This window comes from Homo sapiens, chromosome 2 (genome assembly GCF_000001405.40).
Source record: "Homo sapiens chromosome 2, GRCh38.p14 Primary Assembly".
Taxonomy (NCBI): domain Eukaryota; kingdom Metazoa; phylum Chordata; class Mammalia; order Primates; family Hominidae; genus Homo; species Homo sapiens.
The window spans coordinates 166,183,043-166,205,921 of NC_000002.12; the positions used below are offsets into that span (position 1 = coordinate 166,183,043).

The following is a 22,879-nucleotide window of genomic DNA, read 5'->3' on the forward strand; positions in this document are numbered from 1 at the left end:
CACTCAGCTACACCCCAGATTAATTTAAGTAGTATCTATGGGAAGAGACACAGGCATGGGTTTTAAGGTCTCCAGGTGATTGTAACATGCAGTAAAGTTTGAGAAACAGGGCTCTTAACCAGCATTTTCTCAGTTGTCATGCATATACAAATCCTTGGCATCTAGAGAGCCCCTCCTAAGTGTGGTTACTAGACAAAAAGCCTCAGCATTACCTGGAGATTGTTAGTTAGAAATGCAAATTTTGAGCCCCACTGTATATTTATTGAATCTGAATCAGAACCCCTGGGGTACATGCCAGCATTCTGTGTGTTAAAGTTCTCCAGCTGATTCTAATGTGTGCAAATGTTTGAGAATTAATGGTCTCACCTGGGACCATTCTCCTCCTCCTCCTTTTTATTGCTGTCAGGTGGAAGTGACACCATCTTCCAAAGGCATGGAACTTTATTACTTCATTGACAGTTTTATCCTGGAAACTGATCTAGCTTTTGTTTTTCACCAGAATTTCTAAACAAATAGGCACAAGCTGTTTGATATTGGGTCACTTTTTCTTTCAATGGCTGGTCCCCTTGATGTCTAAAACTTTCGTGTTTTAGGAGGGTGTCGAAAAAGGGAATTAGCAAAGAAGGGAAAAAAGAGGAGAGAGCATTTCCAAGACTTTGTTGGTGCACTGAACTTTTAGAATTCTCATTCCAACTAATTATGTACTACACATATAGTTAACACTAAAAATAAAATTTGCATCATCTGTGAGACATCTAGGATGTTCGGAAAGTAACTATGATCTTACAAAGCAGCTTGACACTGACAATACTCTTGTTTGTTGCTTTGTTTTTGGTGGTTTTTTTTACTACTACTCCCTGAAACAAATGAAAGATGTGGTATCTGGAGTCAGATCTGAATTTGAACCTTGATTTTACCCCTTTTGTGATGTGTATCTGAGCATGTTACCCAAGTTTATTTCCTCATCTCTCACAGATAACTGACAAATTAGTTTTTAGCATTGTGCTAAGATAGGAGAGCCTGAACATAAAATACCTCCCATTATTCTTGGCACCTAGTAGATGTCAGTGGTGTGCTGGAGCCTTCTTGGGCCAGCTGGAGAGAGCAATGGTGCACGGCTCCTTCCAAGTCTATGTTCAGTGACTTCAGATTGTTTGCTGGAATTTAGCCATGGGATGAGTGTTTACACCACAGAAATAGGCAAAAGATACATAGAGAAAAGGTCTTATCCTCCAGGAGAGCCAGTTGCTTTACATTTACCAGTACACCATTGGTAGACATTTCTTTCGTGGTTATCTGTTGATGGGTAGATTTTAGAAGGTAATTTGTTTTTCTCTCATGAAACAAAAGTAGCAAAGCATAGCCCAAATGGGAGGACGTCACAGAAGGGCTCCAGGAAAGCCCTTCCTGAGATCACTCTCTTACCATGTATCTATTATGTATTCTCAGAATTTCTCTCAAATTCCCAGACTCACGGAAAAGGTGACACTCAATTATGAGCAGACACTGACATTTTTTGTGAGATTAGTTCATCAGAGGTTTTCCTTCTAAGCCAAACTGACTGAGTTCAGGGATCTGAAAAACACAATTTAACTAATGAGGATCTGTTGGCTGTAAGGCCATCTAGGGATGAAGATAGCTAAAGCAAACAATGTCTGTAGCTCATGGGGTAACATTTATCAATGCAGAGGAGACAAATAAACACATAATCAACTTTCCATAATTTTAGATAATAGTAAATGGTAGATGAAAGTAAAACAGTTTAATTTGGTAAACAGTGAGCAGGGCAGTGGAATTGCTTTAAGTAGGCTCACCAGGAAAGGCTTCTCTAATAAGGAAATATTTCAACTGAAATCTAAAAGGATGCAGCTGTGTTCTGAATCAGAGAACATTCCAGGTGACAAAGAGCAAGAGAAAGGCCCTGAGGCAAGAATAAACTTGTTTTCAAGAACAGAAAGCAGGTTAGTAGAGCTGAGGCACTGTGAGTTTAAGAAGAGGTTGGTGTTACATGGAGCAGCAGCACAGTCAAGCAGGGAACAGATCACGTAAAGCCCTTTAGAGAGTGAAGTCGGCTTTTTATGCTAGGTGCAACTGGGAGTTCTGAACACGGTAAGAAGCACTGGTGGTCATGGAGACAGTAGCCTGATCGCCAATGGAGTTTTTTTTTTTTATTATTATTATACTTTAAGTTTTAGGGTACATGTGCACAATGTGCAGGTTTGTTATGTATATATACATGTGCCATGTTGGTGTGCTGCACCCATTAACTCGTCATTTAACATTACGTATGTCTCCTAATGCTATCCCTCCCCCCTCCCCCCACCCCATAACAGGTCCCGGTGTGTGATGTTCCCCTTCCTGTGTCCATGTGTTCTCATTGTTCAATTCCCACCTAGGAGTGAGAACATGCGGTGTTTGGTTTTTTGTCCAATAGAGTTTTAAAGGATCACTCTGATCACTCTGTGAAGAATACATTTTAGAAAGTCAAAAGTGGAGCCAAAAGACCAGTTAAGTGGCTACTACGATAGTGTAGGTAAAAGATATAATAGTGGCTTGGACAAGGGGGCAGGTGGTCTAGATGAATAGAAAAGGGTAGATTTGGGATATATTTTACAGGTTGAATCAGTAGCGTTTGTTGATGGATTCGATGTTTATGTAAGGGAAGAAAACAAGAATGTGCATATATATATACATAAAATATTAGTTTTAGAAACAGTGTAGATACTATGCCCATCAGTTAATTTCTAGTCTGAGGTAAGTCATAAAGGAAATGAGCTATCTAAGCAATAAGGGAAAGAAAAATGTTTAGACTTATTGCAAGTTAGAAAAAATAAAGCTGTTCATAGTGCATCCTGTTTCAAGCCATGTCTCCAAATATAAATGATTAATGCATTTGTGGTGTATTTAAGTTCTCTGATGGTGTTGTATTGTTGGTAAAATGCAATTACAATGCAGTAGGAAAATAATGTTTCAATTAGATTAGCAAATAAATTAGTCTTACATAAAATAATTAAAACATTATCTAAGTTTGCAAACTTAGGTCTCAGGTTTAATGAATCTTTTTGAATATTTATTTTCTGTTTCCCTGCTACTTTTTTTTGTCTTTCATAGTTTTGCTCTGGGAGGCTCTAGAAAAGAAGAAGAAAATATTTTGGAAGCCTAAATTTTATTAAAATGATCTTAGTTTTTATGACTCTCAAGCAAAGCTATAGGAGATTCCTAGCCAGGAGATCATTTAGTGTACATTTAGTACCTAACAATTAGGTGTTCAAGTATCCTGAAAAAAGTCCTGATAAACTGTTTGTTGGGTAAAATTTAATAAATAATTTTACGAGTGCAAAGCTGAGCTTATAAAAATTAAAGAAAATTTCCAGGAACAAAAAAGCAAAAGAGAAGCAAGAAACAGAGTGGTAAGATGACATTATAGCTGTAACTCCCTGGGGATGGTGGCTGATTTCAGTAACTCAGGAGTTTGTTTGTTATTGTTGTTTATTACTTTATTGGGATATAATAAGTACATAGTACATTAAGAAAATTGTACAGTTCAAATATACATATTTATACTCCTAAATAAACACTACCTAGGTTAGGATACAAAACATTCCTATTACCTAAGAATTGTCCCTTATGCCCCTCTATGCCAATAACTCCCCCAAAGTTACCACTCTTCTATTAGCATAAATACTTATTTTGCCTGCCTGTCATTAAGCTTCATAAATTAATTCAAACAATATGTAATCTTTTGTGTCTGGCTTCTTTTGCTCATAATTATGTTTGTGAGATTCCCTATGTTTTTGCATGTTTTACGTGTATCAGTAAAATGTCTTTTCTTACTGTTGTATACCAGTTTTCTTAAGAGCTAGGATCACGGCCCGGCGTGGTGGCTCACACCTGTAATCCCAGCACTTTGGGAGGCCGAGGCAGGCGGATTGCCTGAGCTCAGGAGTTCGCAACCAGCCTAGGCAACATGGTGAAACCCCATCTCTACTTAAAAAAAAAAAAAAAATTAGCCAGGCGTGGTGGTGTGTGCCTGTAGTCCAAGCTATTCAGGAGGCTGAGGCAGGAGAATTGCTTGAACCCGGGAGGCGGAGGTTGCAGTGAGTGGAGATATTGCCACTGCACTCCAGTCTGGGCAACAGAGTGAGACTCTGTCTTAAAATAAATAAACAAATTAATGAATTAAAAAAATAAAGAGCTAGGATCACATTCTGTCACTCAGGCTGGAGTGCAGTGGCATGATCATAGCTAACTGCAGCTTCAAACTCCTGGGCTCAAGCAATCCTCTTGCCTCAGCCTTCTGAGCAGCTGGGATTATAGGCACAAGCCTGGATTCCCTTGTTGTATACCTATACCTCAATATTTATTCTTTCTAATCTTGATGGATGTTTGGATTGTTGCCAGTTTGAGACCATAATGAATATATCATCTGTGAACATTCACATACATGTTTTTGATGACTATAAATACTCCTTTCTGTGCATATATACCAGTGATAGAATTTCTGGTCATGAATATATATGGCTAGCATTAATAGATACTGACAAACATATCTTCAAAGTAGTTGTCCAGGTATATATTCTTACCAGGAATATGTGAGAGTTTCTTTTGCTCCACATCTTTGAAAACACTTATTGTCAGTTTTTTTTTTTTAATTTAGTTATTCTGGTGGTGGTCTAGCAATATTTCATTACTATTTTAACTTGCATTTCTCTGATGAATAACTCAAAAAATAAGAAAAAGACTGACATCCCAATGCACTAAGTTAGCATTTATGTTTGTCATTTTACTAAATATTGTCTTTGTGTCTTGGTTCTTTTTCCTTCTCTAGTTCCCCCATTCTTGATATTATATAAAAAGATACTGCTATGTATATGTTTGTATATTGACATTTTTTAACAATTCCTAAAGACAAAAGATTGCATTCCAAAAAGCAGGGCTTAAATTTTTAAGTACTTTCAATATCATGTCTAATTTGCTTTATTGATCTCATAAAAAGGAAGAGATTAGTTTTGTTGACTTTAGGTCCCAAGGAGACAGAAGCAGGGAGGAAGTTCTCTTACACTAGGAGGAAATAACTTGACAGGAAGAAATGCAATAGGGGAAAAATGCTGAAGGCTACCATTTGAAGCTGCCAGAATGGTTCCTCAGCTTTGTGCACATCAAAGTGCTCCAGCTCAGTGTCACGAAGCTGAAGTCAATTGCTTCTCTTATTTTTCCTGGCTCCCTTCCGGATTCCTTTTTGCCTATAACGCTGCTCTAAGTAGTATTCTGGCTGAGGCTTGTAGGGGGCAGACCTACTTGTCTTTAAAATAAATGGACAATGCATGATTCTTTAGAGATAAGCATATCTTTTAATTGCAAGCACCAGGCCAAATTAGGTGACTCTAAACCATTTATTAATCTTTGTTCTGAATTTAAGATAGAAATGAGGTGATTAGGATGAGTAAATAAAAGAAAATAAATTGGGCAGAAAATGAAGCATGGAAGAATTCTTTTCCCACTTCTGTTTCCTCCTCCTCGTCTTTTATCAGAGCTTTATCAGACTGATTCTATTAAGGTCGTGGACAAGAATCAATATATCAAGATGAGCTGAGTTGTTCAGGTGTTACAATTTTATCTTTATTATTTTTTAGAGGGAGTCAAAATTAGATTTGATATTTAGAAGTTTGGCAGTTGTAAACTTTACAGGATTTTTTTAAGAGAAAAAGATATTTTCTGTGGCATTTCATACTTTCTTTTCATCCATAAAATTTTGTTAGCTCATAATTTCTCAAAATGAGAAGAGCATCACAGAAAATTATAATAAACTATCTTCAGTCAGAAGCATACACTTATATTTTAACGTAAATTTTAATCCTTGTCTCATTCATTGTCTTTGGCCAGAAATATTAAAACAAGATGAGTATTTTTTTTTAAATTTTTTTTAATTGTACTTTAAGTTTTAGGGTACATGTGCACAACGTGCAGGTTAGTTACATATGTATACATGTGCAATGTTGGTGTGCTGCACCCATTAACTAGTCATTTAACATATCTCCTAATGCTATCCCTCCCCCCTCCCCCCACCATAGACTGGATTAAGAAAATGTGGCACATATACACCATGGAATACTATGCAGCATAAAAAAGGATGAGCTCATGTCCTTTGTAGGGACATGGATGAAGCTGGAAACCATAATTCTCAGCAAACTATGGCAAGGACAAAAAACCAAACACCGCATGTTCTCACTCATAGGTGGGAATTGAACAATGAGAACACATGGACACAGGAAGTATTTTAATATTTAAAAAAAATACACTTAAGGGAGTGAGAAATCAAATAACTATTAAGAATAAAAAAAGTTAGTTGATGAGTGATGTTTCTCTGGAAAAACACCTTATATATTATTGAAACAAATTTCTAGAGGAGAGTACATCTGAATTAGAGAATTGTGTAAGTCTCAGGCCCTAGAAAACTTTTATCTGCCTCCTTCTCCAATGTAGAATTTCCTCTGACTTGTTTTGAATCACAGCACACTCAGTTTAAGGGATGTCTGCTTGGTGGGCCTATGCTTAATATAAAATTCTATTCAGAGAAAGTTGAGGAGAAAGTTACAATTTTTTTTCAACTAGCAGCATGAGAAAACTTAAATGTAATGAAATGAATGTAATGAAATAAAGTCCCACTTATTATTCATTCAGGATATGATCTGAAAAAGCTGACCTGAAATATTATGTCTGAATTATTTTTCTTGGAAAAACGTTCTTTGTTTCAAAATGCAAATTGTAACAATGCACTAACACTTAGCGTGTCGAAGAAACTCCACTTGAACAAGTGATCCCATCTCTGTGACTGCTCCATGTAATTATGATAAGAATGGCAACCCAAACTCTTGAATAACAATAGGAAGAAATATCATGTCTGAATGTACCCAAAGCTTACCTAGTAGCCAAAAAGAAACACCTGAACTTAAAGATAATTGACTCAATTTCTCACCGAAAGACATCATTTTGAATTTGCAGCAATATTTTAAAAGAGAAAATCAAGAGTACTTAATATCCCTAGGACAACTAGTTAGTCATTTTTGGGGTAATGGTCTTCACTGTTGCTATGTGATTATTTTGGGGCTCTATCCAATTCAATAGATCTTGGGTAAGTCTCAGTATTTTTTAAACTAATAGCTAAGGTAATGTCGGTTATCCATGATTCATACTTTTATAGACATTGTCAGAGATCAGTCGTTGTCAACTGGGGAAGATTTTGTCCCCCTGAGAACATTTAGCAAAGATGGGGACATTTTTATTTGTCATAACTGTGGAATTAGGAATGTTTATTGATATCTAGAGGTTAGAGACCAGTGATCGTGCTAAACATCCCACCATGCACAGGACAGCCACTCACAACAAAGAATTATCCAGCTCAAATATCAAGATTGCCAATATTGAGAAACTCAGGCCTTAGAGAAATAAATGTCTGATTTTAATGTAGAATGTATATGAAAGTTTTCATTTTTCAGTCTTTATTTCCTACTTGACATTATCTCTGTTTTTTTTCTACTTTGTTAAAGCTATAGAGGAAAAACACTTTTAACTTAGTCCTTCAAAAATGCCAGTTTTCTATACTAATTTTATTTTGTGAGCAGTGGGACAGTTTCAAACATCCACTCAACTTACCATGTGAAAGACATGTATAGTCTCTCTCAGGCCAGAAAGCACTGGCACTGTATAAGAATGTAAGAATACACTATACTTTTGTTGAGAAGATCCTGCAAACAGAAAGAAAACTATTGAGGCTGAAGCACACAGATTAAGATAGGGAAAGAGGGAAGATAAGAGCAGTGAGGCTGACATGGTGTAGGGCTGGAAAGCTTGTAGAACTTGTAGACAGTAATAGTATAGAGTTTGTAAAATCTTTGCTGAGGATTTTAGAATTTATCATCATAATAATGGAGAAATATTACAGAATTTTATGCCGGAAAATGACCCAAAATTTTAAGCAGGGAAATGTCACAACCTCATAAAATCCACTCTGGCTACTGTACTGAGAATAGATTTGGAAGTGAGGCAAGAATGGATTTAGTAAGATAAAACAAGTAGGTTATTACATTGTCTTATAAAGAGGTTAAAGGTGGTAATGGATTGGATTAGGTGTTGACAGTGGAAATTAAGAGAAGTTGATGTATTTACATTACATTAGGTGGTAGAATGAACTGGTCTTGGTGAATAAATGCGGAGGGTTAATGAAGAGGATTAGTTTGGAAAACTGGATGAATGGTGGTACTAATCAATGAGAAGGAAGATGTAATTTATTTACCATGATATACAGTTGTCCCTTAGTATCTGCTGGGGATTGGCTTCTGGACTCCCTGAGAATACCAAAATCCACAGATGCTCAAATCTCTTATACAAATGGCATAGTGTTTGCTTATAACCTACACACATCCTCCTATATAGTTTAAAATTACCTACACATCACTTCATTTGTATGGATTCAATGTAGTACTCAGCATATGGAAAATTCAAGTTTTGCCTTTTGGGGCTTTGTGGATTTTTTCCCCAACTATTTCTGATCCAGAATTGGTTGAATCCACAGATCAGAAACCATGGATATGGAGGACTGAATGCATATATATATATATATATATATATATATATATATACACACACATATATATATATGTATATATATATATATACACACATATATATATACATATATATATATATATATATATATATATCTTCCACCATGAGATTAGTATTCCTATAGAAAAAAGAAGAGAGACCAGAGCTCACTGCCTCCTCCATTTGAAGACACAGTGAGAATGCTGCCCTCTGCCAGCCAGGAAATGAGCCCTCACTGGGGAACGAAATTGGCTGGCGCCTTAATCTTGGACTCCTCAGCCTCGGGAACTGTTAGAAATAAATTTCTGTTGTTCTAGCCACCCAGTCTATGGTATATTATTATGACAGCCCCAGCTTTCTAAGACCAACACAAAAATGATAATACTCTGGCTCCTGCTATTGCTTTAAGTAATAATCTATTATTATCTCTGACTCCTGAGTCTCATGTCTTCTGCAAGCATGTAACATGCTAAAGTGAATTATGTTACTCTAAGAGTGAAATATATAATGCACCCTTCCTTAAATGTATTGACATAGAAACTTTTTATGTTCCAAATGAAACGTTTTAGAAGACATTTGCTGTAGATTCTCTTGGCCTACATTTTAAAGGCATGAGTGGGACAAGTATACTTCAGATTCTCTTTGACTTTGAGAAAATTACTTAAGATTGCCCATTTTCTTTGGCTTCTGGGTAAAAATTTGTAAGGTGCTTTGCCAAGAATAAGGTGCACTGAATGGTAAACACGATTAGGATAGTCAACAGGGAGGAAAATCTCCTCCTTTAAATTTTTGATAAGATAACAATTAACATTTGCTTTCTACATCAGTCTTTTGCGGGCGAGATCAGTGTGCCAAACTGTCTCACCAGTGTCCCTCTCTTTTTACCTCCACAGTCTGTATGAGCCATTGTGGTTTGATAAAATAACCTTTCTAGTAGCGTTGCTCATCTGTATTTCTACCTTAACATGGTACATTGGAAAACAGGAGCATGCATTTGTGTTTGATCCTTTGTAACAAATGATCACAAATTTAGCAGCTTAAAATAATACAAATGTATTATCTCACAATTTTTGTGAGGCAGGAGCCTGGGTATAGTTATCTGTGTTTTGTATAAAGACACATGTAACCCCATCCACTTATTTTTTCTGTTCTGTTAGAAGGAATTAGTGTATCACAGTTGGTTTATATCCTTTTCTTATATGAGCAAGATATCATTCTTTCTCATATAAAAATGAGCAGTTCTCAAGAGTAGCCTAAGAACAGGAGAAAGCACATTTTAACATATTGTCAATGTACAGAGTAGAAGACACAAGATATTTAAAGAGAGTAAATCTGGAGGCTCCTCAGATGAAGGGCCAGCCATAAGTAAAAGAATGTATTTGTTTAAAGCAGCACATGCAAATCCAGATTATGTTCTCACATATTTAGAAATAGTAATTTAATGGGAGTGTATTCTTAATATTCACTGGATATAATTTTCCCATAAATTCTAAATTTTACACATCACTAAAAATAAAAATGAATTATGATGGTATATTAGAGAAGAATTATATTTTTATAGAAAGAATATGACTGAACTAACTTGAAGACATATTGTTTTGTAGGAAATAAAATAAAAACTAGGTCATGCCAGCAAATATTACAACTTACGAATAACTTTTGCTCAGTTCTACTAGATTTGCAAAATTTTTAACAAGCTCTGAACATTTTCTGTATACTTATTGTGCATTGCTTTTATCTTTTGTTTCTAAAGATATATTTAAAAAGATTCAAGCTAAAGTGCAATGATGCAGTTATTACCAATGTCTCATAAATCTCTTCAAATTACCTTTTCGCAGACAGATCAATTATTAATGTAGGTATGGCTCGCAGAGTAATAGGGAGTCAAGCTAAGTGTAGCATGTGAGCTCTATTGCTTGTTTATAACTATCAATTATTCATGTTTCATTTCCTGTGTGCATCAAATACTATTGCAGCAAAATCCCCTCTGCTCTAGCTAGTATGTAATTTCTCCCTCCCTTGAGAGAGATTACCATGTATCCTGCAGCTCATTTTGCTTGGGTTATGGCATAGCATTATCTACAATGTGAAAGAATTTAGCTTTGTTGTTGTAAAAAATTTGCATGTATCACAATCACTTATGTTGAAATGGATTACAGTATTATTCAGTGATTATAATTCTATTTTGCAGAGTGGCTATTGCAACTATCAGTACAAAAGTCCCAAGGACTATTTTACACCTTTTACATGCTATTAAGATAACATAAAAGTTGAAATAATGGCCTAGTATGGCAATTATTTTTAGAATATCTTACCTAATGACCATCAACAGGACTTGATGCTTATAGCTAAAGTAGAGGGTTGTATTAATTACTCAGCTAAAAATGGTAAGAACCACCTCCACTTTTTGGAAATAAGCTAGACCTTTATAAATGTGCATATTTCCTGATTTTAATATGTTGTTTGAATTCATAAATCTCAAAAGTAGCTAAATTTTGAAATATTTGGTGTATATGCCACATCACTAAATATTTACTACCTACCAATGGGTGCATAAAACTCTTTTGGGCACTATAGTTATACTTACCCATATAAAATAGAGAAAATATTGTCATTATTTAACATTCATGAAGAGTGCATTGTTCCTGTATGATACAGAGGTAGCCTGGGTTCTTACATTTTTAGTAGCAAATTAATTGCCATACTAACTACTCTTACTACTAATATAAATTTTCAATGTGTTTTCAGTCATTGTTTTAATTTCTTCATGAAGCTTGTCTCATTCTATCATTACAACCACATAATGAAGTAGTACTCTTCTCCTCATTTTATAGATAAGAAAGTTGAGGCCCATATAGGTTAAAGAATGTATTCAGCAAACTCATAGGGTCATGGCTTAACTGGGATACAAATATAGTTCTAGTCTTAGAACCCATGCTCTTAGCCATTATGTATGCTATATCACCTCTTAAGAGCTGGTACAGCTTTCCCATCTGTAAAATGAGAAAAAGAGTAATACTCCATGTGGTTGTAAGGGTAGAATGAGACAAGCTACACAAAGAAATTAGAACAATGACAATACAGAATCAAGAATTTATATTAGTAGTAATAGTAGTTAGTATGACAACCAATTTGCTACTAAAAATGTAAGAATCCAGGCTACTTCTGTGTCATACAGGAACAATGCAGTCTCCATGAACCAAAGCTCTTAGCCATTATGTATGCTACACCACCTCTTAATGCTATTACACAAAAATGTAGACATCGCTGTGTGGCTAGATGTTTGCATATTTTTGCTTCCTGTCTCAATTTTCTCCCTTTGCACAAACCTTGATGTGGATTTCAAGAAATTACTTTGGAACTCTAGATTCTTTGTCCTTGTCTTTGTTTCCCGGGAACACTTCTTATGGAGGACATTTGAAGCTGTCCTTTCAATGAAAAGGAAAAAGCTATCAGTTGTTGCAACTTATTTAGATATCCACTGACTTTACCCACCTATGGTTATTCTAACTGAAACAGAAAATACGTGTAAACATAATTTTATTTTGTATAACTTTTATTCTTAGATTATATTACAATGTGTCAGTCTCAAGTATAACTACAATATAACTACAATATAATTTATGGCAAACTCAAACATTTTGAGCATTCATAGATCTATGAAATTTGTAAAGAATCCTATGTAAACAGCTTTATGATATTCATGGCTATTTATTTATTTTCATGAAGCAATTCTTGATTGTTTTCCTCAAGAAGATAATAACATAATAAACCACAGATATTTTTAAAAAATTGGTGGCCTTCATACATAGGTCCTAAACCCAGGCCAATTCCCTGGCCATCCTAATTTAGTTGGCCCTTCTTTCAGCACTTCTATTAACATTTCTCTGAAATAGCTATTTAGAACTGCTTTATTTACATATGCATTTTATTTTCACTCTTTTTAATAAAGCTATCAAAACTCTATAAAATCATGCTAAGTATTTTGGGTTGTGATGTTCAACAATCAGCATTTAAAAACAGCTCACAAGTCACCCAAATCTTTTGCAAACTAGGTAACTATCAAAAAGCTAAAATTAGGTTCTCTAATTTTCATCCGAAAGATTTGTGTTCAAACCTGTTTGGGGCATGGTGGCTCATGCCTGTAACCCCAGCATGTTGGCAGGTCATGACAGTAGGAACACTTGAAGCCAGGAGTTTGAGACTAGCCTGGGCAACATAGCAAGACCCCTTATCTACAAAAATTTAAATATTAGCCAGGCATGGTGGCATGTACCTGTAGTCTTAGCTACTTGGGAGGCTGAGGCAGGAGGGTTGCTTGAGCCCAGAGTTGAGGCTGCAGAGAGCTATGATCATGCCATTGCACTCTAGCCTGGGTGACAGAGCGAGACCTGGTCACTTAAAAAAGTTTTTAGAAAACCTGTTTGCTTCCATTTTATTCTAAGTTAAGTTCTTCAGTGTAACTGCCTTTCTGTATTGTTGGGTGTAATAAGTTCAGCGATTATAAAATTTAAATATTAATATGACAGTGCCTTCTGAAGGGTGAAACCATCAGTACAAACAGTAATCTACATGGAAAGAGAGGTCTAATTTTACTTCAAGCTTATACTTAATAAGCTCTTTCTTCCAAATATTATTTTTAATTGATAAAAAGTCACAAGTAGACATTCCTGAAACAAACGTAAATATATATAAAACTTAACCATGTTATTTTAAAAAAAAACATAGTTCATGAAATAGGAAAAAGAACAACTTTATATATATTTTTGAAATGCTAAGAAGAAATTGTGTTGTTAACAAACCAGTTGCCCATATTTTTTATTTTACATAAAAACAAGGCAATGTAAAAACATTAATAGAAAATTACACACGAACCTGTCAAACATCTTGTCTTACTACATTATGTAAGTATTCATAATGCAGTTATATTTGTGAGTTTGAAATAACGGTAGATTGAATTCAAATTTAAGGTGATGTTAAATTCTTAATTGAATGTATTTAAAAATCTGATAAATGTAATATATTTTGTATAGGTCCCTACTTAAATTATCAAAACCTATTTCCAACAGGCTTGGTAGGTATGTGATAAAATGATCTATGTAGTCTCGGAAAACACTGCATGGTGTCTTTCATATTAAATTAAAAAGTGGTTCAAATAGCCTAAGATGAATGAACCTAAGATGGTATAAAGAATCTTTAGCCCTAGATTGAGTTTTATACGTAGATTAGGACAAATGTCTCAAAGTAATAACGGATGTTGTAAAATATATCACAATTTAAAAACATTCTAGACTTCTGATCTCATTCTTTAACCATAAATCTTTGTTTCTATAGGTACGTTTAAATCCTCTTTCTTTTTAAATTGCCAGAACAACAAAAAATATGTGCTTTAAACATTTATTATATAAATGTAATTTATTATTTTTTAAATATGGAAAGCAAATTAGTGAAAGTTGTTTTATATATTTGCTTCAAAACCTCCCACAAAAATCTTCTAAGTAAAACTACATTCTACCTGTGTAGCTCAATTTTTGCCTGTGCATGAATAACTTTATAGAAGAAAGATCTCATATTCCTGAAATAAACTCACGAAAAAAAGCATTATGGTTATTTCTTTTCAAATTACTATTAATAGGTGTTTTCAAAAAACTAGATGTCTACAGCTAATGCAAAATGAATATGTGCTTGATAAATTAGAAGCCCATGGTACTGTGTTGATTGAGGCAAAATATATTTCACATCATAGAATTTTAAGGAGAAGGTGACATCTTCCTCATTGTATACATTGAAGTATATCCAAAAAAGATTACTTCCATAATTTAGGAAAGTAAGTTGGTGGCAAGAGAGCAAGTTGGCAAGAATCCCTATTTCAATGCTTTTTTATTCATACTAAACACATATCTGTGTAAAGTCTGTCATATTACATGATTTGAAAGCTTGCCAAACACGGGATTGTATACAAGTGATGCAATAAATACTGTGCCCAAGTTATTATCTGCTCAAGTATGTACCGTGGTCAAACAACTAACTGCATATCAGGAAGGATTTCATCAACTTTGCTTACAGCGAAAGGATGACTAAACAATACTGCATAAGAAAGCAGGAAAATTTGACAAAAGAGTTTAAGAGACTATTATCAGTATTTTGGGCAGCACAGTCAAATGTTAGGCTATGTAAATAATAGCAAATAGAACTTCTGTCAATAACTTTTTTCTCAGTTATCTTTGTTTTTTTTGAGGAGTGTAATATGTACTTAGAATAATTTTTCAAGTTCTGTGGTTATTCTATGAACAAAAAGGGATATGAAAGAAGAAAGGCTATGAAACACAATACTCTAAAGGTAAGTCTTATCCTTGTTGGCATGTGAGTCAAGATGAATGAAAAACATTTGTAGAAATGAATAGCCTACATATATTTTTAATCCCATGGCATTTTATAGGCACATATAAATTGGTTCTGATGCAATGTAGAATAAATTTAAGCACCTCAAAATATAGAATAACCTCTGTACATTGATAAAAAGTCAAGCTCCCTAATAATGCATTTTAACTAAACATTCATAACTAATGTCCATTACTTCTATCAAGCATTTCATTGCAAAGCCAAGGCAAATACTTTTGTTGATTTCCAAATAATAGATAAATAATAGATTTTTCTGTATGCGTGTGTTGTTTATTTACATGGGAAACAAGACTAATTACAATCCTGTGAAAAGATGACAAGGCAGATGTAAAAGTTTTCTACATGGTCTTCTGATTTATTAAAAACCAAAAAACTGAATCACTTTTGTATGCTATAATCAATAATTCCTACAGAGTTCTCTTACGATTCTTAAAGAATCATCAGTGCAAAAATAACCATCTGCTAATGCTGCCCACCTTTCTTAGGAAATCAGAGTTAGTGACTGCACTGCCTTCGAGAATATTTTGATAAAAAGGATTTTGGCATAGACTTCCTCAAAAGAGTTTTATTAACACAAATAAATCACTTTCACAGGCTGTAAACAATATATCAAAAATGAAGCTCTATTTTTTGCTTTCCTTGCTGTCTTTCCCTTTGTCTTCCTTTTCTGTTCTGTCTTGTTCATATTTCTCTTTGTCTGGCTTTGTTACACTATCATATGAAGGTGGAGAGGTGGTGGATGAAGTGGCATCTGTTTTTTCTGGACTTGAGTTCTCATTAACATTATCAAAAGCCATATCTTTTTTATTGAGTAAATCATCATCTCTGTCTCCATCTTTTATGTATATACTTGATATATTTTTGACATTTTGCCTTAAGCGGTAACGTCTATAAGCACGCTGAATGACAGTAGCAGACACATCCTCTTGTTTCCGTTTTAGTGTGGTTGTGATGGGTTCATAGGACACTTTGGAAGGATTTGCAGACATGAACCTTTCTTCCATCTGTGAACGAAGAGAATCCATCTCCCCACTCTCACCCAAAACACGCTTTGTAAAAGCAAATAAGATGTCAAGACAATGGATCCGGTCACCACTAACCATGGGCAGATCCATGGCAATGAGCTGGACTTTGTTGGGTTTTGCTATGAGAAGAGGAGGATCCAGGGCAGCTGCAAAATCAGAGAGTTTAGAGAACTCTATAAACTGGGTCGCATCGGGATCAAACTTCTCCCAAACCTCATAGAACATCTCAAAGTCATCCTCACTCAGAGGTTCAGTACTTTCTTCAGTGGCAACACTAAAATTCTCCAGTATGACTGCAATGTACATGTTCACCACAACCAGGAAGGATATGATGATATAACTAACAAAGTAGAATATTCCAACAGATGGGTTACCACAGTCTCCTTCAACTGAACTTCCAGGATGAACTTTTTTTGGGTCACAGTCGGGTGGCTTACTGTTAAGAATAGGTGCTAGCAATCCATCCCAGCCAGCAGAGGTTGTAATTTGGAACAGGCAAATCATACTGTTGCCAAAGGTCTCAAAATTGAACATGTCATTAATTCCATCTTCCTTTTTAACATAGGCAAAGTTGGACATTCCAAAGATGGCGTAGATGAACATGACCAGGAAGAGCAGGAGGCCGATGTTAAACAACGCAGGAAGGGACATCATCAAAGCAAAGAGCAGCGTGCGGATCCCCTTTGCTCCTTTGACTAGACGTAGGATTCGGCCAATCCTGGCAAGACGGATCACTCGGAACAGGGTAGGGGACACAAAATACGTTTCAATCAAATCAGCTAGAAACATACCTGTATGTGGAGGAAAATAATAGAAATAAAATATTTAAAGATGTATGCTACCTGAAATGATGACTCTAAACAGTTTTATCTGTCAACTCATTTCTTATGAATTCAAGACAGTTTTTTTTTTTTTTTTTTTTTTTTTTTTTTTTTTTTTTTTGAGACGGAGTCTCGCTCTGTCGCCCAGGCTGGAGTGCAGTGGCGCGATCTCGGCTCACTGCAAGCTCCGCCTCCCGGGTTCACGCCATTCTCCTGCCTCAGCCTCCCGAGTAGCTGGGACTACAGGCGCCCGCTACCACGCCCGGCTAATTTTTTGTATTTTTAGTAGAGACGGGGTTTCACCTTGTTAGCCAGGATGGTCTCGATCTCCTGACCTCGTGATCCGCCCGCCTCGGCCTCCCAAAGTGCTGGGATTACAGGCGTGAGCCACCGTGCCCGGCCAAGACAGTTATTTTATACTGAATGCAATTACTTAAAAAAGGATTAAGAAATTCCAAAGAGAAATGACTAACATTACCATTGTGACATTTTCTCCTTTTTACTAAGTTCATGGGCCATTTTTTCCCTCCATAATAGTGTTTTACATTTTAAGAATGATACCTACTCACATAGAAAATTCAAGCAATACCGTTAAATGCTAAAAAGAAAATATAAATCACCTGAAATGTCAACAATAACTATTATCAATATTTTTTTGAGTATCACTTCAGACATTTTTCTGTGCAAGCACATGTACACACACAAACAAATGTATTCATGTTATATAAGCTTTTTTTGTAACCTATTTATTTATTTTTCAAGACAGAGTCTTGCTCTGTCGCCAAAGCTGGAGTGCGGTGGTGTGATCTTGGCCTACTGCAATCTCTGCATCCCGGGATCAAATGATTCTCCAGCCTCAGCCTCCAGAGTAGCTGGGACTACAGGCATGCGCCACCACACCTGGTTAATTTTTGTGTTTTTGGTAGGGACGGTTTTCACCTTGTTGGCCAGGCTGGTCTCAAACTTCTGACTTCAAGTGATTTCGCCCACCTCGGCCTCCCAATGTGCTGGGATTATAGGCGTGAGCCACAGTGCCCAGCCTGTAACCTATTTTATTTACTTTATATGTCATGGAGATAGTTTCATAAAAATGACAACGAAATAATTTATTATAGTGGTATAATGTTCTCTCAAAATAACCACAAATTGAAGACTAGCATTTATACTGTTTCCATTTTTGTTACTGAAATGAATATCTAAATAGCTATGTTCTCCTAATTGCATGAGTACTTTTTAATAATATGTTAATAGAACTTGGGTCAACAGTATATATATGTTTATATATATACACACACTATATATACACACATACTATATATATACACATACTATATATACTATATACAGTATATAGTATACATATACTATACATATACATATACTATACATATACATATACATATACTAAGTATACGTATATACAGTACATAGTATATGTATACTATATAGTATGTATATATAGCATATAGTATGCGTATACTCTATATAGCATATAGTATGCATATACGCTATATAGCATATAGTATGCATATACTATATATAGTATAGAGTATGCGTATACTATATATATAGTATAGAGTATGCGTATACTATATATATAGTATAGAGTATGCGTATACTATATATATAGTATAGAGTATGCGTATACTATATATATAGTATAGAGTATGCGTATACTATATATATAGTATAGAGTATGCGTATACTATATATATAGTATAGAGTATGCGTATACTATATATATAGTATAGAGTATGTATATATATAGTATACATATATACATACTCTATACTATATACATAGTATGTGTGTGTATGTGTATATATATACACACAATATATAGCTGAACCTATCTCCAGAAAGCCTGTACTAATTAACATTTCTAATGGCAGTATATGATAGTGCTCATACTTTACACATTCAACAGTATTGAGTGCTACCATTCTTCTTTATAGTTTTTTACCAAAAAATTTTCATGACATTTGAAAACATCTACTATTGTAATTTATTTGCATTTTTTGTGAAAATAATCCACAATTTTCCTTGTGTTTTGTTATTTTGTATCCTTATTGGTTGTTTTTAACTTCTGTTTTTGGCTTAGTTTGGTATTTGCCCATGTGTCTATTGGGATTTTTACTATATTCTTATTAATTTATAAGAACAATTTTCTATTTAAAGTATTGATCCTTTCTCGGCCTTAACTGTTATGTAAACATTTCACCTATTTTTTGTCTTTCAACCTTTTATTTATGATGATTTTTTCCCCAAAGAATATTTTGTTTTTTTGTGCAGTCATTTCTTCTTCATTTTTTTTTTTGGCTTTACAAATTTGTGTTTTGCATAGAAAGGACTATAAGAGTATATGGTTATATGTCTATTTCCACATATTTCCTACTAGAATCTTTTTTTTTAACTTTAGATTTTGATTCATGTGATCTTTTCACACAGTAAATTGGTAATTATACATTAAAGTTTAATTTGGACTCTCTTCAAACCCACTGAGCTTTTATATTTGAACAGTTTTATTTAACATCTATATGTCTTAATATTTTGCAGAATAAGCCACCTCTTGTCACCCTAATTTTCTTCCAGATGAATTTAGAATCATTTAGACTTATATTGTTTTTGTCTATTTATTACCCACACTACATAAAAAGACTCATTGATATTTTCCTTGAATTTATAGATTAATAAATTTGAAAGTCTTAATTACAATGAGAGAAGCTTATCTAAGTACATGACAATCCTTTCAATTATTTTAGCTTTCTTTTATATCCTAAAGTTTTCTTCAGAAGTCTCATATGATAAAGTTATTATTAGATAATTTACTTTATTTTTATTGCAATTGTGAATCAGATTTTCTAATTTTTTTCATGTATAAGATAATTATTAGTGTTGGCACATGTAATTTAAAATTTGTACCTTTTGAACTCTAATTGAATTTATTTTTAGTTGATTCTCTTTCAATATATGAACAAGTTCTTTCATTATATGAAGAAGGTCATTATATTAAGGATCATTTACTCCATTGTTTTTATATATGTACCTCTCTGTTTTCTTATCTAATTGCATTGGCCAACAACACTAAAAACAGGGATGATACAGGCACACTCTTTTTTTTTTCCTGACTTAATAGGAATGCTTTCAGAATCATTTTTGTTAGTGTGAAATTCTCACCTAAATTTTAATACATTTTCTTATATCAATTTTGGTATGACTTCTGGTGATAATATGCTTTTCCAAAATTATTGATTTTAAATGCTTACTCTGTTATGTGGCACTCAATTTTATGATTCTAAGTCATGCAACCTTGAACCTTTTCAGATTGATAACCTGTTGATTAAACTTGTAGTAATCTCTATAATCTCTCTCTCTTAAAAGTTTATAATTCTAAAAAGAAATACAATCCTAAAATACTTTGCAAGATATGTGAAAATAACAACAACAACAAAAACAAGAAGATAGAAAAACAACCATGGCAATGAATGTATAGGAAGTATAAAATCATGTGCTGTTATTCACAGACATGAACACCATGGCTGGTTGAGGAATGATTGGCATTTTATACACTTGTGAAGTATTAAGCTGTAAAAAATAAAACTGGCATTTCTAGAGATCTTAACTTCACTTTAAATTCTGGAAGAATTTTCACAAATTCACAGATATTCTGGCTATTAATATTATCATTAATCAAATGACAAGTCTCACATGTGCTAAAACCAGAAGTTATTTCAGATTCAACATTGGTTTTCCAAGACACAGCTATATATAAACATGGTAACTAGTTTTGCAAAGGTAATATTGGAAACTAAATATCAACAAGTATAATTTCCTTCTAATAGATAGAAATATTTGGCTTTGGGGCCTGTAGTGTAAACCCAGAAACACTGTAGTATGAGAGACAGATATTTGTTTTGCTTTTTAGGATTTTTTCATTCTTTCATTGTACTGACTTACTCAAGAGTAAATTTGTGTTCAAGAATTCAGCATATACTTCCTTGAGCATAAGTGAAGTTTAGCTTTACTCAAAAAATAAAATCTGAAAAATAAATATTCTTACCTACAATGGAGATAATCACAACCACAAAATCAAAAATATTCCATCCTACAGTGAAGTAGTAGTGTCTGAGGGAGATCAGTTTTAGCACACATTCTCCAGTGAAAAGGATTATAAAAACCACATTTATCCAATATAAAACTTCAGTCATATGTTGACTTTGACCCTCCTTTTCTACCATCATGGTTACCATGTTGAGACAGATAAGAACCATGATACTAATATCAAAGGCTTGATTTGTCACTAGGTCAAATATACATCCTTGGATTTTGTTCTGCAAAGAAATAAGAATAATATCGAATGCAGAGTAAACTTTTCAAGTATTATCCAGAAATTAAAGATGTGCATTAAAAATGAATTAGAAATAATTTGAAAATCTATATGCTAAAGATATATATATTTTTTTACCCCTGGTCGAGGAATTGGCTTTTGTGGCTTCTTGGACCCCAGCTTTTTCATTGCATTATAGTATTTCTTCTGTTCTTCTGTCATAAAGATGTCTTGACCTCCAAGGTAAAGAAACAAACAAAAAATAAATGTAGTTAAAACCAGAATCATTGTCTACATCTTTCTATAGATTACTAAAATAGGTTAAAATGTGTTAATATAGAAATAAAATGTATTTTATTATGTTCATGATAGCTATACATAAAATATATCTTAAATAATTACATATGTGTAGAAACATGGGTCTCCAAACACAGTTAAATGTGCATATATAAATATTTGTATTACATATAATAAGGATTGGCTCAATATTCTTTTGGTGTGCTAATCAGTGTTGTTTTAAACTATGTACTTTTATCTTTTTTATCTGCTAGCTGTCTTACTGTGACTTTTATTGCTAAGAAAATTTGTAAGAATTAAAAGTAATGAATATCTTCTTTGATGATTTGGCAAATATTTAGAACTTTTATAAAGAATAGGGAGCCAAATCATGAGTGAACTCCCATTCACAATTACTACAAAGAGAATAAAATACCTAGGAATCCAACTTACAAGGGATGTGAAGGACCTCTTCAAGGAGAACTACAAACCACTGCTCAGCGAAATAAAAGAGGACACAAACAAATGGAAGAATATTCCATGCTCATGGATAGGAAGACTCAATATCATGAAAATGGCATTACTGCCCAAGGTAATTTATAAATTCAATGCTATCCCCATCAAGCTACCACTGACTTTCTTCACAAAATTGGAAAAAAACTACTTTAAAGTTCATATGGAACCAAAAAAGAGCCTGCATAGCCAAGATAATCCTAAGCAAAAAGAACAAAGCTGGAGGCGTCACACTACCTGACTTCAAACTATACTACAAGGCTACAGTAACCAAAACAGCATGGTACTGGTACCAAAACAGATACATACACCAACAGAACAGAACAGAGGCCTCAGAAATAACACTACACATCTACAACCATCTGATCCTTGACAAACCTCACAAAAACAAGCAACGGGGAAAGGCTTCCCTATTTAATAAATGATGCTGGGAAAACTGGCTAGCCATATGTAGAAAGTTGAAACTGGATCCCTTCCTTACACCTTGTACAAAAATTAACTCAAGATGGATTAAAGACTTAAATGTAAGACCTAAAACCATAAAAACCCTAGAAGAAACTCTAGGCAATATCATTCAGGACATAGGCATGGGCAAAGACTTCATGACTAAAACACCAAAAGCAATGGCAACAAAAGCCAAAACAGACAAATGGGATCTAATTAAACTAAAGAGCTTCTGCAAAGCAAAAGAAACTATCATCAGAGTGAACAGGCAACCTACAGAATGGGAGAAAATTTTTGCAATTTATCCATCTGACAAAAGGGCTAATATCCAGAATCTACAAAGAACTTAAACAAATTTACAAGAAAAAAACAAACAACTCCATCAAAAAGTGGGCAAAGGATATGAACAGGTACTTCTCAAAAGAAGACATTTATGCAGCCAACAGACATATGAAAAAATGCTCATC

The 22,879-nt window shown here is 34.2% G+C and overlaps 1 protein-coding gene and 1 long non-coding RNA gene across 8 annotated transcripts in view; one reads left to right on the forward strand and one right to left on the reverse strand.

The window, feature by feature from the left end:
- SCN1A-AS1 (SCN1A and SCN9A antisense RNA 1) overlaps positions 1-22,879 on the forward strand; it is a 220,254-nt gene that overhangs the window by 101,512 nt on the left and 95,863 nt on the right. The window contains exon 4 of the long non-coding RNA NR_110260.1: positions 16,597-16,776. This is a non-coding gene — a long non-coding RNA (SCN1A and SCN9A antisense RNA 1). The remainder of the gene's footprint in view (positions 1-16,596; positions 16,777-22,879) is intronic.
- SCN9A (sodium voltage-gated channel alpha subunit 9) overlaps positions 12,143-22,879 on the reverse strand; it is a 180,803-nt gene continuing 170,066 nt past the window's right edge. For 6 of the 7 annotated variants that reach the window (XM_011511618.3, XM_011511617.3, XM_011511616.4 and 3 more), the window contains 3 exons: positions 21,318-21,422; positions 20,913-21,183; positions 12,143-16,822 (listed from right to left, as the gene is read on the reverse strand). In XM_011511618.3, the coding sequence (XP_011509920.1) occupies positions 15,630-16,822; positions 20,913-21,183; positions 21,318-21,422 (1,569 nt within the window). In that variant the 3' untranslated portion in view covers positions 12,143-15,629. The remainder of the gene's footprint in view (positions 16,823-20,912; positions 21,184-21,317; positions 21,423-22,879) is intronic. The other variant, XM_011511619.3, reaches the window with a different exon arrangement.